This window comes from Homo sapiens, chromosome 18 (assembly GCF_000001405.40).
Source record: "Homo sapiens chromosome 18, GRCh38.p14 Primary Assembly".
In the NCBI taxonomy this organism is placed as follows: Eukaryota; Metazoa; Chordata; class Mammalia; order Primates; family Hominidae; genus Homo; species Homo sapiens.
In genome coordinates, this window is record NC_000018.10 from 34,742,245 (window position 1) to 34,759,401 (window position 17,157).

General features: G+C 37.2%; 1 protein-coding gene and 1 long non-coding RNA gene across 66 annotated transcripts in view; one reads left to right on the plus strand and one right to left on the minus strand.

Moving 5' to 3' along the window:
• DTNA (dystrobrevin alpha) overlaps window positions 1–17,157 on the plus strand; it is a 398,533-nt gene that overhangs the window by 248,933 nt on the left and 132,443 nt on the right. For all 65 annotated transcript variants that reach the window (XM_047437323.1, XM_047437332.1, XM_047437326.1 and 62 more), the window contains one exon: window positions 13,732–13,799. In XM_047437323.1, the coding sequence (XP_047293279.1) occupies window positions 13,733–13,799 (67 nt within the window). In that variant the 5' untranslated portion in view covers window position 13,732. Of the gene's footprint in view, window positions 1–13,731; window positions 13,800–17,157 lie in introns of those variants that run through there.
• DTNA-AS1 (DTNA antisense RNA 1) overlaps window positions 1–17,157 on the minus strand; it is a 31,274-nt gene that overhangs the window by 5,852 nt on the left and 8,265 nt on the right. Inside the window, exon 4 of the long non-coding RNA NR_199046.1 lies at window positions 13,214–13,391. This is a non-coding gene — a long non-coding RNA (DTNA antisense RNA 1). The remainder of the gene's footprint in view (window positions 1–13,213; window positions 13,392–17,157) is intronic.

The following is a 17,157-nucleotide window of genomic DNA, read 5'->3' on the forward strand; positions in this document are numbered from 1 at the left end:
CAAATGTAGTGGCTTAAAACAACACAAATGTATTATCTTACTGTTCTGAGATCCAGAAGTCTGAAGTGGGTCTTACTGTACTAAAATTAGAGTGTTGGCAGGGCTGCGTTCCTTCTGGAAGCTCTAGAGGAGAGCCCATTTCCTTGCCACTGCTAGCTTCTGGAGGCCACATGCATTTCTCGGTTTGTGGGTCCTGCCTCCATCTTCGAATCCTCTCTCAACACTTTATGAGAACTCCAATAATTGCATTGGGCCCACCAGGATAACTCAGGTTAATCTCTCCATTTCAAGATCCTTAACCTAATCACATCCACAAAGTCCCTTTTGTCAAGATAACGTATTCACAAATTTGGGGGGGTTAAGATGTGGACATCTCTGATTATCTTCTATTATCTATCTAGATAGATAGATAATCTATTATCTATCTATTCCCATTATCCTGTCTATTTCATCAGCCTTCGTTTTCTCTTCTTAAAAACAGGGTAATATAGTATGGCCTCTCTCAGAGTTAGGATAAGAAATAAATAAAATAATTCATGTGAAATGCTGAGTACAGAGCCTACTCACAAAGAGGAAGCACTTAATAAATGTTTATTATTATTGTTATGACATTCAATGAATGAATCTCAGGGTCTCTTCCGGCTAATAACCCAGGCATTCATGCCTCTGCCTCACCGGGACAATGCAGGAGGCCTGGAAGACTGAAAAAGAAGGCGCCTTCCCACCAGCTATTCTTCCTCACTCAAATTCTTGGCAATCACCAAATTAGAGCCATGGCTCTCTTAAGAAACACATTCTCCCAGTCTTCCCTTAATTTCAGAAAAAATTCTCTTCAATGGAAGGGACATAATTAAAAGCCTTATAATTTATAGGAACAGATCCAGAGGCAAGAAATAAGGGCTGCCTCTGTTTCTTCTCTTTCCATTCTGTATTCCTGTCATAGCCAGTCAACGCTGGTCTTGGGGAAAGGAACCGTGGTGTGCAAAATGCCATTGTTTACTGCTGGAGATCTTGCAGCCATAACTTTTGGCTGCTCATACCCCCGCCTGTTTCTTTTCCATGTGGCCTATTTAGTTTTGGCATCTATGTTCATTAACCCCATCTACTTGGCTGTGTTTTCATTGTATAACAATCACCAGAGTCCCTACAATGTTGTTTTCTAAGTTGTTTCTAAATATTGTTGTTTTCTAAGTTGTTTTATATCAGCCTAGGATATCCACCACAGAAAGAATTTAAGTGGAGGAAGGAAAAAATAGAATAATATTACTAAATTTAATATTTAGCTATGAATTAATCTCTATTCCACATGTTACTGATAGATAAAACTAGATTGTAAACTTGTTAAATGTAGGTTCTCTTATGTTCTCATTGTAAATGCATGTTTATTAAAAATCAAAATAGCTCCTTCTGCAACATAGAATTTTTGATACTTTTTAAAAATATTTTTGGTACAAATAATTTTGCAGAAACATATAGTAGAATCAGTAGCGAGGAAGGGGATTTAAAAGAAATTTTTAATAGACATACTCTATCATCTTTTCCTATCCTTCTTGTACTGACTTTGGAACCCTGTGCTCTTAAGTTTTGCTATTGGTCTTAAATCTGTAGATACACAGTGATGGTCATATTGGCATCCTCCCACCCACCCATCTTAGCCCTCATCTGCCGTTGACCCTCTCATCTTCCTTATCTCAAAAGACGCTTTCCTCGTGTGGCCTCTGGAGAATATCATCCAGAGCTAGACTCCTCAGAAAGCACACAAGAGCCATTATTATTTCCTTTTCCCAGCGAATCAAAATTGCCACCTCTTCACTGTGTTTATCTCAAGCAGGTATGAAGAAGAAAGCAACCAAATTAAGTATACTAATTCTGATTTTCCCAAGGAAATTTGCTTTATTAATGACATAAAATAAACTTCCCATGGTGAAATTTCAAGGTACATCTCAATGACACATAGTAAATGAGAGGTTTCATGTTAAAGAGAACTTTCTAGTTTCACTAAAAATCACCCCAAATAAATGGCAACCCTCTCCATCCTCACTGATTCATTCAAGAATCTTCATGCCTATGCAAAAGCAGCTCTGTGTTCTGAGTATACAGTGATATAAAGCACCATGCCACTGTTGGATTCACACATCATGGATATCATGATTGTTAGGAACTCTATTGGTATTTCTTTTCCCACCATAATTTCCTGGTCTTTCTTGACCAGGAAAAAAATATCATGAGGCTTTCTGTCTACCTTGTTGGTTTTAGTCACATTTCCTATAACACACATAGAAACGAAGAAGGTGAATAAAGGAACAGAGTTAAGGAAAGGAAAACAAAGAGCAGGGAGGGAAAGTTGGAGCAGAGAATGAGAGAATAAGATGGAAAGAAGAAGAGAGGTGGAAGAAAATGGGAGGAATGCAGAGGAGATAGGCACTTTCGGCTCACAGGTCTCTTTCCTTGGCAAAAGTGGGCCATTGCACAACCCGTGAACTCCATCCTGCCCAGCTCCCCTCTGGAATTCACTCACACATGTCTTCAGTTATGCTTTAGCCTATGTCCGTGTGTGTCTGTGTGGGCAGTGCCCCACAACCAGTACCCTCGGGAAAAACAGGGCAGTTCCTTTGAGTCTTTTTTCATACAATTGCATTTTGGTTCTCATTAAGAAGCTCAGTGGGATTTGTAGTCAGACATGTCTAGTCTTAAACCTTACATTGTCCACTTAAGGTACATCTTAGTCTCTGAATCTTGGTTTTCACATTGGTAAAATGAGACTAATAATACCAACCTTATGGTGTTCTTACAAGAACACAGTGAGAAGGGGCCTGCATAGTACTCGGAACATAGTAAGCTTTTTAAGATGATAATTGTGTTAAGTAGTGTCGTGGCTATTACTGTTATTATTTATTATTATTTCTTCTCCCAGAAGTCTGATTTTTTGTCCTATTGCAGAAAACAATATATTCTCCTGCCTCTCCCCTTCCCAACTCTCCAAACTCAGCACTAAAAAAAAGAAAATGTTAAAGCATACAAGCCTCCCTAGCCTACATCTAGTTCAATACTGCACTTTCACTCTCTTTTCCCCAATTCTCCTATGGAAATCAATTTCAGAAGCCCAGATCACAATTAGCCCATGGCCATTAGCAGCCCCAGTAATTTTTCTCAACACATTAGAATTGGGGGAGGATCTATTTCTTTCTACTACTCTTTCTAATATCTTCAAAAACAAACAATGGTTTAGAATTCTTTAAGCACCAAGAGTCATGCCAATAATGTCCTAAAACACGTGGGATTTTCAGGATGCGAGTTTCTGCCTGACCATGATTATTGGGTTGTGTATCCAGGTATTCTGGTTCCTAGTGCATGAGGAGCGCATCACTGTCTTCTCCCACCTTCACTGTTCCACCTTAGCCTTTGCAGGTCGCCAGCAAGCTTCTTGCCCTGTCCCTTGGGCAGTTGCTCTGTAGATGTGTCCACTGTAATTGGCTGCTGCCATTTCACTAATAGTTGGCACTCCCCATAAAATAAAACTACCTTTGATTCTCACCAAATCCTGACTTTCTTCTTCTAAACCAGCCCATGCAAGAACTGTAATGCCTTTAGTTGTGTGTGTATATAGACATGAACATTTTGGTGGGGTCCATACCTTCATCAGCTCATTAAAGGGTCTAAAATCTTTAAAATATAGACAGGGCAGCATCACACCACTTAGCCAGCTAAATACCTCCTTGTCCTGTTGCAGCCTCTTTGTTGGGATGCCAAGTTTAGCTCAGTCACTTGAAAAAATTTTGGAATTACATTTTTAAAAGTATTCCAAAATATTTTACTTTTATAAATGTTTATGCATATATACAATATACTCCCCACTTTGATAAGAGGAGTTCAAAAATTCAATTACAAAATTCAAGGTTGTCTTATTGCAAGGTTAATTAAAAAAACAGTCTTCTAATTTGGGGGGGGGACTTTTTAATTATTTGGGGTTTTTTTTCATTTATACCTAATCCTGCAGATTATTTGTTTTTATTTATTTAATATGTAGGAAAAAGAAACAGATATATTTTCATGAATAGTAATGTTCTACACTGAATTGAGACAGTCCCAAATGATCAGAAGGCAGTCATTTCCTAATACCCTTTCCCCAAGACTTAAGGACTTGGCTACCACAGCAGGAGGACAAGAAAGCCTCTCTCTCCAATGTGAGGCTCAGCCATCATTTCCCTATGACAAAGTGGGCCTATGTGTATAATATTATTGCTAGTGAGAAATACAGATGCACACATGTACACAGTCATTCTGCCAAGATACATCGTATTGAATAAAACATGATTCTCTAAAAAAAAATCTGAGGTCCTGGTGCAGTTCTAAAGGCAGCAGTACAGCTGACCCCACCTATGATAGTCTCCCCACAGGGACTCTGGAGGTCCTTTTGATCAAGCTCAACCTTTGGCAGGGCTCCCCAGTCCCTCTGAGACACTCTAATAACTTTGAACCTCACATGCATAACAGAGTCTGAATTTGGATCATCATCCTTCCAAAAAGTTCCTTTCCACCCATGCCAATCTGCTCCCAGCCTGGCTCTGCAGTCTTTCCTCATAGTAAGGGGGAGGTGTGGTGTGATACCAGCTGCTATTGAGCAGAAGTACCTAGCCTCTTACCAAGCCAAATGTCATCAAATGAAACCAAACGAAACCAAATGTCCTTAAGCAACTTGTACAGTCTTACCCAGAATAAGAGGTTTCTTCCTGACTTGAAAGAACCACTAAGAGTAGTTCTTTAGAGAATACAAATGGTCCTGTCATTTTTTAAATGGCATTTTTCTGTTTCTTAAAGTTTGCCTCATTAGATACCCATATCTATATCTATATCTGTATCTATATATATATATATATGTTTATGTATATTTATATTCCTCTAAAAGAAATAAATATCTTCTCCCTTGGCTCAAAGTAAATTTTAAGGTGGGTCTTAAGTTATAGAAACATACTGCAAAGCAGCATAAGAATTCCAACCTAATGTTGTACAAGTAAGTTCATGTTCAAACTCAACTAGCATCATATTTCCACTCAACCCGAGCCATGAATCGGATGCACTTAGGGTGCTTTTATTTTTTTTTAATTTTTTATTTCAATAGTTTTGGGGGCTATAGGTGGTTTTTGGTTACATGGATAAGTTTTTTAGTGATGATTTCTGAGGTTTGGTGCACCCGTCACCTGAGCAGCAAACACTGTACCCAATATGTAGTCATTTATCCCTCACCTCCCTACCATCCTTCTCCTCTGAGTCCCCAAAGTCCATTATGTCGTTCTTATGCCTTTGCATCCTCATAGCTTAGCTCCCACTTAGAAGTGTGGATATATGATAATTGGTTTTCCATTCCTAAGTTACTTCACTAAAAATAATGGCCTCCAGCTCCAGCCATGTTGCTCCAAAATACATTATTTCATTTTTTTATGGCCAAGTAGTATTCCAAGGTGTATATGTATACCACATTTTCTTTATCCATTCGTTGGTTGATGGACACTTAGGTTGGTTCTTTATCTTTGCAATTGCAAATTGTGCTGCAAATTGTGTCTTTTTCATATAATGACTTCTTTTCCTTTGGGGATTGCTGGATCAAATGGTAGTTCTACTTTTACTTCTTTAAGGGATCTCCATAGTGTTTTCCATAGTAGTTGTACTAGTTTACATTCCCAGCAGCAGTGTAAAATTGTTCCCTTTCACCCCATCCACACCAATGTCTATTATTTTTTGACATTTTAATTATGGCCATTCTTGCAGAAGTAAGGTGGTATCTCATGGTTTTCATTTGCATTTCCCTGATGATTAGTGATTGAGCATTTTTTCATATGTTTGTTGGCCTTTTGTATATCTTCTTTTGAGAATTGTCTATTCATGTTCTTTGCCTACTTTTTGATGGGATTAGTTGTTATTTTCTTGCTGATTTGTTTGAGATCCTTGTAGATTCGGGATATTAATCCTTTGTCAGATGCATAGTTTGAGAAGATTTTCTCCCACTATATGGGTTTTCTGTTTATTCTGCTGATTATTTCTTTTGCTGTGCAGAAGCTTTCTAGTTTAATTAGGCCTCATTTATTTATTTTTGTTCTTGTCACATTTGCTTTTGGGCCTTAATTATAAATTATTTGCCTAGGTTAAAGTCTAGAAGAGTTTTTCCAATGTTATCTTCTAGAAGTTTTATGGTTTCAGGTCTTAGAGATAAGTCTTTGAGCCATATTGAGTTGATTTCTTAATAAGGTGAGAGATGAGAATCCAGTTTCATTCTTCTACATGTGGCTTGCCAGTTTTTCCAACACCACTTATTAAATAGAGTGTCCTTTCCCTAATTTATGTTTTGTATGCTTTGTTGAAGATCAGTTTGCTGTAAGTTTTTGGCTTCATTTCTGAGTTCTCTATTCTGTTCCTGTGGGCTATGTGCTTATTTTTATACCAGTAATATACTGTTTTGGTAATGATAGTCTTGTAGTTTAATTTGAGGTCGGGTAATGTGATACCTCCATTTGTTCTTTTTGCTTAGTATTGCTTTGGCAATGTGGGCTCTTTTTTGGTTCCATGTGAATTTTAGGATTTATTTTCTAGTTATGCAAAGAACAATGATGGTATTTTGATGGAAATTGCATTGAATCTGTAGATTTCTTTGGGCACAATGGTCATTTTCACAATATTGATTCTACCCATCCATGAGCATGGGGTGTGTTTCTATTTGTTTGTGTCATCTGTGATTTCTTTCAGCAGTGTTTTATAGTTTTCCTTGTAGGTATTTTTTATTTCTTTGGTTTAGTATATCCATAAGTATTTTATTTTGTTTTATTTTATTTTATTTGCAGCTGTTGTAAGAGGGATTGAGTTCTGGATTTGGTTCTCAGCTTGGTCATTGTTGGTGTATATCAATGCTACTGATTTGTGTACATTGATTTTGTATCCTAAGACCTTACTGAATTTATTTATCAGATCTAGGAGCTTTTTGGACTAGTCTTTAGGGCCTCCTAGGTGTGCAGTCACATCATCAGTGAAGAGCAACAGTTTGGTTTCTTCTTTCCAATTTGTATGCTCTTTATTTGTTTCTCTTGTCTGATTGCTCTGGCCAGGACTTCCAGTACTGTGTTGAATAGAAGTGGTGAAAGTGGGCATCCTTTGTTTAGTTTCAGTTCTCAGGGGGAATGCTTTTAACTTTCCCCCATTCAAGAAACTCTTAGTATAAATGCTCAGGTCCAACTCCAGATTCAGTAGGTCCAGGTATTTGCATTTTTGATTAGGTCTCCAGGCTAGCGTGAGAGGCAGTCATAGCCGAGAACTACTATGCTGGACACTTGATAAGGGAAACCAAATCCCGGATAACCCATCTAGCTGGTCGCTACACTAAAGTAGTGAGCTCATGCACCTCTCTCCAAAAAATAATAATAATAATAATAATAATAATAATAATAACAAATAAGATACCAGTTCCAGGAGTAGAAGATGATATTCAAAGTAAAATACAAAGTCAGAAACTCATTATAACCTTGTATTTTAGTAACAGCATTTTTGTACTGTCATGGGCTCATCTAGATAAAGGACTAGGAAGTGAAAGCAAATGCAATTATAATTTGCCTCAGGAAAGAGCTCTGAATACTTTTTTATTATATTGCCAAAGATTAGGACTAGAATGTAAATCTAAGAAAGTAATATCAAAGGCCTTCCTCATTAACAGAAATGGAAACAGGCATTTATATGCCACCAATAAATCAATTAAAGGAGGAAAGGAGCTTGAAATGGCCTTCATTGTGGTTATTAACTTCAGGGAGTGCAGCAGTTGGGGATTGCTGAACCCAGCATTTTCTTTTCATTCACCTGGAGCAAAATGTAGGAAAATAAAGCATGGTAATGCTGTCATCATATTAAACCCAAAGTCTGCTTAAGTGTTTGCTAAAGTGGAGCAAAACAAAGCAGAGCCAGACGTTTCCAAAAACATTGTCCTGCTTTTGTGGATTTTAATTGCGAGACTGTGAATCAGTGTGTGACTTGGTGTGTTTCTATGTGTCTGGTTTACATAAATCTGGACACTGGGAATTCTTTTAATCTCCCTGATTATTTCCAGTGTAACAATGTCCTAAAATAGGAGGATTCCTTTAAGAAATAATACATAAAGGAACTTCCCAGTGAAGTTTGAGAGAGCTGTGACCCTTCTCCATCCTTCTTTTGGCCTGTTAATCGCCAAGTCCTATTTACTTTTTTCAGTTTACCAATTTCAGAAAATCTTAATTTGCATTGAACAGTAGCATCTGGAATAAGGTTACTGGTGAATGGAATCTATACTAGCTTAGGGATTTAATAATTAACAGAAAAAAGAGAATTCAATATCTTGTCATGCCAGAAAATGCCTTATGGTTTTTAGGCAGCCACTTTACCTTCTTGAGTCTTAAGTTCCTTAGCTATAACTTGGGAATGTAATATCTTTTTGACTTCCTAACAAAGTTACAGGGAAAAGCATTTTATAATCTTTAAGAAGTTATACAAATGTAAGGCACCATTAGTTTCAGCTTCTGCCTTTAAAATTTCTTATATATCATGCGTAATAGTAATGTGTATTTATTATGGATGGTGTTGGATGAAAGGTGTGCCTTGAAGGAAGTAACTTGAGGATGTGACATTTCAATGTGAATTCATTTCACTATGCCAAAATATAGTTCACATTTCTTCTAACACTGTATTCCCTACCTTTGGATTTATTCTTTATTTCTTGCTGGTTCCCAAACTGTTTTACTATTATTTTATCCTTCCCCATACATGGGGGCAAAGAGTTGGAGCCATCCCTGTCCAGCGGTGCAACCCTCTTTTAATGACCATTCTGAAGAAGGGTGACTTGGTGACTTCACCTCCTACAAATTCATTAATGCCATGGGGCCAAAAGATTATTTCCTAATATGGGAGAGAAAAAGCTGAGGTCCTCTCATCTGCCATTCTCTGTGTGGTCTGGTAGTCACCAAGTCCTATCAAATGTGTCTTCTAAATCTCTCTTAAATCAATGCTTTAATGCAACACATGAGTCTCACTCCTGAAACACAGAAGTATCCAATTCACTGGACTCTTCCGTTAGTCGTGTGTTCCCACGCCTACCCTCCTACCTACCCAGTCTTCCTTCCACTCACCATGCTGGAGTTGTTTCCTAAACCTGAATCTCTATACATCAATTTCCTACTTAAACCTTGGATGGCATCTAGCGTCGATTGGAAAGCCCTTTATCGTCTAAACATGACAAGGATGGCTTTCCAGATTTGATGCCTGTTAATCTCTGAAGTGTCTCCACTCACACTTGCACCCAGCAATACTGAGCAACTGCCTGTTCCCAAATGCACCTTACCTATTTTAAAGCTCCCTGCTTTTCTTCACGATTCTATTTGCCCTTCCTCCACTCTTTTTCATCTGGAAAATTCCCGTTTATCCTTTTAAATTCTGTTTCAGAGTCCCTCTTTATTTGATCCTATTTCAGATCATTCCAGAAATAAACTACTACATCTTACAGTACATATTTTCATTATGGTACATATTACTCCAAATTTTAATTATTTGTTAGAAAAATTTGTTTCCCCTTTCAAAGTTGTGAGCTTCTTGAAGACAAGGATCATGTTGTATTAATCTTTGGGTCTCAAGAAACTACCAGTGTGTTTGACAAAGTATAGCTACTTTATAAATATTGCTTAAGTAAATGAATGGATGGGTTCTTATAAGCGAAAACAACATATGTCCTGTATAATTTGTGGGACTGAGCTTTAGTAAAGGAAACATCTGACAGGGCTCATCACTTATTTATCACTGTTAGTTCTTTTCACCTTTTTGACATTTATATAATCTTCTTGTAAAATCTAAGGTTGTAAGCATCTTATGTACATGAAGGAGCAACAAAAACTGACCAAATTGGGCTCATCGGTGAGCCATGTGCCCTGTGGTACACATTAGTGTCATCACAGATGGGTTATTTTCCTCTTCACCTCCTCCATATGACTTTGGGCAGCTGTTGTTGTACTGAAATTCATGAAAAGCACAGCTCCTTGTCAATTTCCCTCATTTCAGAAATAAAACTGCTCTCTGTAAAAGCACCTGCTCCTTTCCCTACAGAATGACATGCTCTTCTCTCTTTCAAAGGCAGTGAGAATGTAGTCAGGCATTGTGTGTCTCAGATCCCATTGATGAGAGTTAAATTGGAAACCAAGGAGCCCACAGTGGTGTTCCCTGCCTGTTGAACTCATGAGCTTACTTTGTCCTAGAGTCCCTCTATTGAATCAGTGTAAAGTGTAATCTAGCAGGCCTCCCATTTTTACTATTATGACTACGATCAATGAGTAATAGGTGAGTATTCTCAATTTTATCTGACTACACTACTTTCCAGAAAACTCTGGGGATAAAATGAGAAGTGTGTTATTTTTCTCTTATATTTATAATTATATTCTGTGCCTTGTATTATTTCATACCACAGAGATTTTTCTATCTCTTCCAAGGTACACATTTGACCTGGAAGTGAGAATTAATACCTATTGTGTAACTAATGATGGTTCTTTTACAAGTTAATTAATCAAAAAAAACATGAGGAATAGAACAAAAGTTGACATCAGTGTACTTTGCATATTTTTCAACTTCTTCATAAGACTTGATTTTGCTTTAAAATGTATGGTCCTAGATTATAAACAATGTAAATTAGTTTCTGTCATTTCAAATAATTAATCTCTGAAACTAGTACAATTTGAATTTCACACTTCTGTAAGTCAGATTTGGGAAATATAATTGAAAGTTCATTTCATGGAAACCAAACTTAGCTTGTTTTGCTGTTTTCTCTCTTTCCTCTTTTTTTTCTCTTTCATTCATTTATTCAATAAATACTAGCTGGCCATATCATTTGTTGGTTGGACTTTGCTGGGCACTGTGAAAAATTAAGATATGTGAGGTTAGTGCTCTCGAAACCTTACAGAGAAACAGACAAAGTGTTAAATAGGAGTAGAGTTGTCACAACACCGCAAAACAAGTAGTACAAGCAGCAAGGCCTGCAAGTTCAGATGCCAGGCTTTACCTCTGATATTTTCTGTCAGAGCTCCCTAGACTACCATCCTTTGTGATTTATTTATTTATTTATTTATTTATTTTATTTTTTTTTTTTTTTTATTTTTTATTTTTTTTTTGAGACGGAGTCTCGCTCTGTCGCCCAGGCTGGAGTGCAGTGGCGGGATCTCGGCTCACTGCAAGCTCCGCCTCCCGGGTTCACGCCATTCTCCTGCCTCAGCCTCCCAAGTAGCTGGGACTACAGGCGCCCGCCACTACGCCCGGCTAATTTTTTGTATTTTTAGTAGAGACGGGGTTTCACCGTTTTAGCTGGGATGGTCTCGATCTCCTGACCTCGTGATCCGCCCGCCTCGGCCTCCCAAAGTGCTGGGATTACAGGCGTGAGCCACCGCGCCCGGCCTGTGATTTATTTTTAATCATTCTTTTCATCTCATTCTAACACACAGATCCAGGAACACATCACTTGTTCTATCCTCTATCTCTCTTACTGCCTCAAGTCTACTTCTGAGCCCTTGAAATAAAAATTGGAAGCTATATTCATACTATTTTGTGAAAGTCAGTATTATCTACCCACTTCTTCTGAAATAAAGGAGATGAGGTTATATGAATTAGGAAGGGAGTGTTTTTTTCTAGATCTATATATCAACTTTACCTGCGTATATGAAATCTTATAAAAAGAAAGTATTTGACCATGTTCAGCAACAAATTGTTACCAAATTGATGAAGCTTCATTAGTAACTCTACTCCTTTCCAATAATTATTTAGGATAGTCCCTGGTATATTATCTAACCCATTGTTAATATGTGCACACTCTTCCCTTGACTCCATAAACCAAAGCTACTCTACGTCCTTCCCTCCCTTCCTGGCAATGGGCAAATAGTGCTTCACCCATAAAAGCATCTGGTCAGGCTACTGGACCAATTTGATAAACATCACTTTTACCACCAATTTTTTTTTTTAATTTTACCCTCAGGTGAGTCATTTTGTACACAGCTCATTACCTTTTGAGCAGTCTTCTGCTGTAGTTTTGTTAAATTTATCCTCAGGAAATCAACCCCTCTCATGGTCACACCTTTCTTTCCACTTCTATGGCTATAATTACCTCATTGTGTCTTAATTGCTTTTATGCTTCGGTATCTCTGCCACTACAGTATAAGCACCTTGAGGACAAGCACTGTGGCTTGATCACTGTAGTGCACTCAGAGGACAGCGTGGTCCTGGCTTGATCACTGTGATGCGCTCATAGGACAGTGTGATCCTGGCTTGATCACTGTGGGGCACTCAAAGTGTAGTAGGGTTCCTGGAGTATGAAAGGCACTCAGTAAAGGCTTGTTTTGTTTCCATTCGTTTATTTTTAATTGTCAGATAATTATAGTGTATATTTATGGGGTACAATGTAATGTGTTGATCCGTGTATACATTGTAGGAAGAGTCAGTCAAGCTAATTAACATATCCATCACCTCACCAACTTATTTTTTGTGGTGAACATGCTGTTTGTTGAGTGAGTGCTCAGAATTGAAAGGCATTGTGTGCTGTGGAGGTGCAGAGGACAGGCACCAAACCCAGGCAGTTGTAGAAAGTTGGGGAAGATTTCAGAGGAAGATAGACAAACTGAGATTTGAAGGGTGACAGCAAGTTAGCTTGGCATAGGGAGAGGACAATCCTGTCAAAAAAGAGCATGGACAGAGTCCTAGATTTGAGAAAGAGCAGGGGCCATAGCCATAGGCAAAAAACCATGCAGCTACACCTTTTGTTAACTATGCCTGAGAATCAAGGCAGAAGTCAGTGTGGTAGACATACGTGTGCATCTATATATGTGCACATGAGAGGAAACTTTGGTTTTTGAAAGTTTAATTAGATGCAATAAAAAGTCAAATCCGTCAGCCTCTAAAACTCTTGATATTTAGCCCAAAGCCCTCTACATGATTAAACATATCCATTAACTTTCTCATTATTTTCTTTTTCCTCAAGCTGAAGTTTATTTTTTCTATCACATTTTAATTCTCTGTTTTAACTGTTGGCATTTTAGTAGTATATTTTAAATAGTTCCACTGCAGACAATAGTATGGTTAAGGAAAGATATTTGAATCTAACCACCTTGCATGAAGTTGTTATATACAGGAACTGTTGCAAGTTCCAAACACTCAACTTAGAAATGAACATTTAGAAAATTACCTGTTTATAAATTGAGGTTTTGAGTGTATAAGGGACAACTGGCAACAGGATGAGATGGAAGCCATACTGGTCTTAGAATCCAAACGTCTGCATCCTTCATTCACCAAGTCCATCAGACTCTTGGTTTCATCATCTGTTGAATGGGATCCACAATATCTGTTCTCCAGTCATAGGTATTCTTAAAATTGAAAGAGAAACTGAATGGGAAACGAGTCACCTAACAGATGGTAGATTGTTGTATTTAGTTATAGCACAAGGTCATTTGCTACAGTAGTTATTTTTATGTTAGACAATAAAAATTTTATCCCCCCTCCAACAACTACAACAATAATATATATGGAAAAATATGCGCAGCAATTTAGGTTAGTAAAACTAAAGCTGTACTTTTTAAAACAAACAGTTTTAAATAGGTTTTCTATGTGTTTGTGTCACAAGTACAGCAAGTACGTTTACAGAGAAATGGCTTCTTGCCTCAATAGCGTGAGGATAATACACATTGTAACTATTTTGTCTCATAGAATGATTGAAGATAGTGGGAAAAGAGGAAATACCATGGCAGAAAGAAGACAGCTGTTTGCAGAGATGAGTAAGTATGGATCTTTTAAGGAACACCCTATAGTTTCCATTGAATACTCATGGAAAGGCTAGAAATAACCATTTATCTTTATGATATTTGTACTTTTCCTTAGGATCCTAAGTTCCTTTCATGAAGTGTACATTTTGGCCTTTTTTACTTCTTACTTGGCAAGAGTTCAGTTAGTCAGTAATTCATCCTAATTTGCTATTAGACTGTCTATTTTATGTGGAAGAAAATGTTTATAGATTTATATATTTACATTCACACATATATGCACATACACAGACAGTTGATAAACACTATTTAGTGTTGACATTAATACAGTCCACTAAACTTTAAAGTCTGTGTTCATCACCCTGAACTGTCACAGCAGCTGGCATATTGTAGGCACTAGATAAAATTTTTGAAATGAATTATTGACTTTCTTCCCTGCAAAGTGATATCATATGTTTATGTGGAAAGGAGAAGTTAGGCACAATTACTGGACCAAACTATAAACTTGTCATTCAGACCTCATGTAGAAAAGGAGAATCTATTCTGCAAACTGGTTTTTTTAAAAATACTAAGGAAAATAAAAGATAAAAGGAGCTTAGAGTTGACCTGCTACACAAGGGAAACCAAACTAAGTTACTGACTCCAGTGAAGAATCTATTCAATAAAGGCTATTGGTTTATGTAAGTGCACAGTTGCTGTATAAGTAATTGGTTGGTAGCATCTCCCTTGTAGACCATTTTTCTTATTCATAAAGAAAAAGAACTTGACATTAGGGAGAAAACCACACATCTCAAGTTGAATATTATAAAGGAAAAAGCATGGTTCTCTTCATGTCTTTTTATCTCTTCTTCCTGCATACGGAATGAGGATGAGCAAGAGTGAGTGGTAAGCCTTTTTCCCTAAGAAGGCAGTAGACAAAATTAGGTTTCTACTAAAGATTGGAAGTGACTGGCAAGAATGAGGGTCAGAACAGAAAAAGGAAAGTCCCAGATAATAAGATTCATATTTTCCTTTATCATTCCCCAATAATCTGGTGGTACCAAGATAGCATTAGAACTAACAAGGAGGAAAGAAAATTAAAATTGATGTGGGGAATCTCAGTCGTGTTCCTTGCTTTTTCCACTTTTAGAGATGTGCTTAGAGTGTTTGGGAGAGTTTCAGCCAGGCCTTCCAATTTCCTAGACCCCATGTGTGGTACTGTGTCTTCACCTGGAATTGTGACCTTTGTGCAGTTACAAATCCAACAGAGCAAGGAGCCTAGTGAGTACTTGTCCATCTAAACAAAATCCAAAGCAGCACAGGTATCCTCCAACAGCACATTCTTATATTAAAAAGGCATAAAATTATGTCTTATATTATAAGACATCATGGGACAATGTCTTCTCAGACACAGTAGAAAAAAAATATTTACCATAAAAAGGCAATAAAATCTGGGGAAAAATATTTGAACTTATCATTATAACACTAAAGACTGTATCAGACAGCACACTGTAAGAACTATAAAAGTATGCTTATTCAATGATTTTGTAAATCCTTCTTTGAGTTTAAGTATCCCAGTGCTTTCTGAACCTGATATAGTGCCTGGCTCAGACAAATACATATGTTACAAATGTCTATTGGATTAAAATTGCCCAACTCAAAGAAAGCTCGATATGATTTTTAGAGACATAGAAATAAGACAACTCTAAGTTTTTCTTCAAGTGACAGAGACTTAGGAAAATTGTGCATTCGGTTCCCAAATTATAACTTTGTGTTTTCATAGAAACATCACAGTGATGTCTTGCAGCTTTATTAGTTCTGTGAGTTCTTGTGATTAACGGTCAGAATAGATAAACAAGCCAAACAAATATATATCTTTCCTCCCTGGGTGTTCCAACTCAAATGTTGGCAAAAACAGCTAAATACGTCTGACCTTAATAATTCATTAGTTTGAGCAACATGTTTATATCAGCACTAAGTAGGGCACATCCACAATAAGTAGGATTCGGCTGGATAAAACAATTGGCTGGTTTCAAAGGGAGCAATTGATTTTGACAGGTAGACTGTCATACAAAAGAGAAAGGTAATATCACTGCGAATGTGTTAAATGGTTGAAAAATATATGGGTATCCCAGCTGTATCAGCAGCACACCAAAGAAAGGAAAGGAAACTCTTATCAGAGAAGACTGACATCAAGATTCAAAAAGTAACTTCTAGGAATCTGTGCTTTCTAGACAGGGAGCAAAAAAGGACTAGACTTGTAAATCTTCTCATCTAAGTATTATATAGAAATATTTAAAGAAAAAACAACAAAAGAAAGTGCCAATGAGATTCTTTGCTTTAGAAATTAGAAATGTGAAAGAAAAGTTGTAATGGCCAGAGTTAAACAGGCAGGGAAGACTTTTATCCAAGACTATTGCAACAAGGGAGAAAGACTGAACTCAACTTCCCTGGAAGAAAAGGCAGGAAGTACTTTAAGCACTGGGGAAAAATACTGGAGGACTTCAGGGAGGAGATTGGTCAATGTGATTAGGCCATCTGTTTGCTAATTGTCACATTTAAAAGTTAGGCTTCTACCCTCCTGATAAGACTTGGAGATAGAGGTGATAAGTCCTTCAATTATTATATTTCAAAGGGCTGGCACCCAGGTTCTTGAGAAAGACATTCCTGGGTTGTAAACTTGGCAAGATATTTACATCTCAAAGGGGCAGAGAAAGAATTTACAATGAAAAGTTTTCTAAAGTAAATGCTGTAAGAAAACAGAGGTCAGAAGCCTAGAGCAAGGAAGAAGTCTATCTAAAGTTAGGCAAGTTGAGGAGGTCTAGGTCTTAGAAAAGGTAAAGAACAGAGAGCAATTGATAAGAAAAATGGATAAGAAAGTTTGGCAAATTCAGGTGATTGCAGCACATATGTGTTAAACATTCACTCTTAGCTCATTACTATAAGCAGCAGAAGCAGGAAGAAACAGCAAAGAAATGAAATTAAGAGAAGCATAGACTAAAAAACAAACAGAAAAAAATAGCTTTATATAAAAAATTGGGTGACCACCTACTTTGATTTAAGAAATTCTGTACAAGTTCTCCCTTAACCAAAAATTCTCTTCACAATAATGCCTTAATTATCAGTTTGCTTAGTACCTTGGATTAAAGCTGAAAAAAACAAAAAAACAAAAAAACCCTCTAGTTAAATATAAACATCATCCTCACCTTGGCTTTTTCAGCCATCATATAAGTTTAGCAGCTTAAATAAGTTTATCAGACTGTCTTTTAACAGAATAAATTGTTTGTTCTTGGAATTAAACTCTCCTTTTCTGTTGTTTTACTCTCAGAGCACATTTACTTAGCCTTATATGGTAGTTACTTGTGAACATGTCCACAACACTCACTGCTGTGAA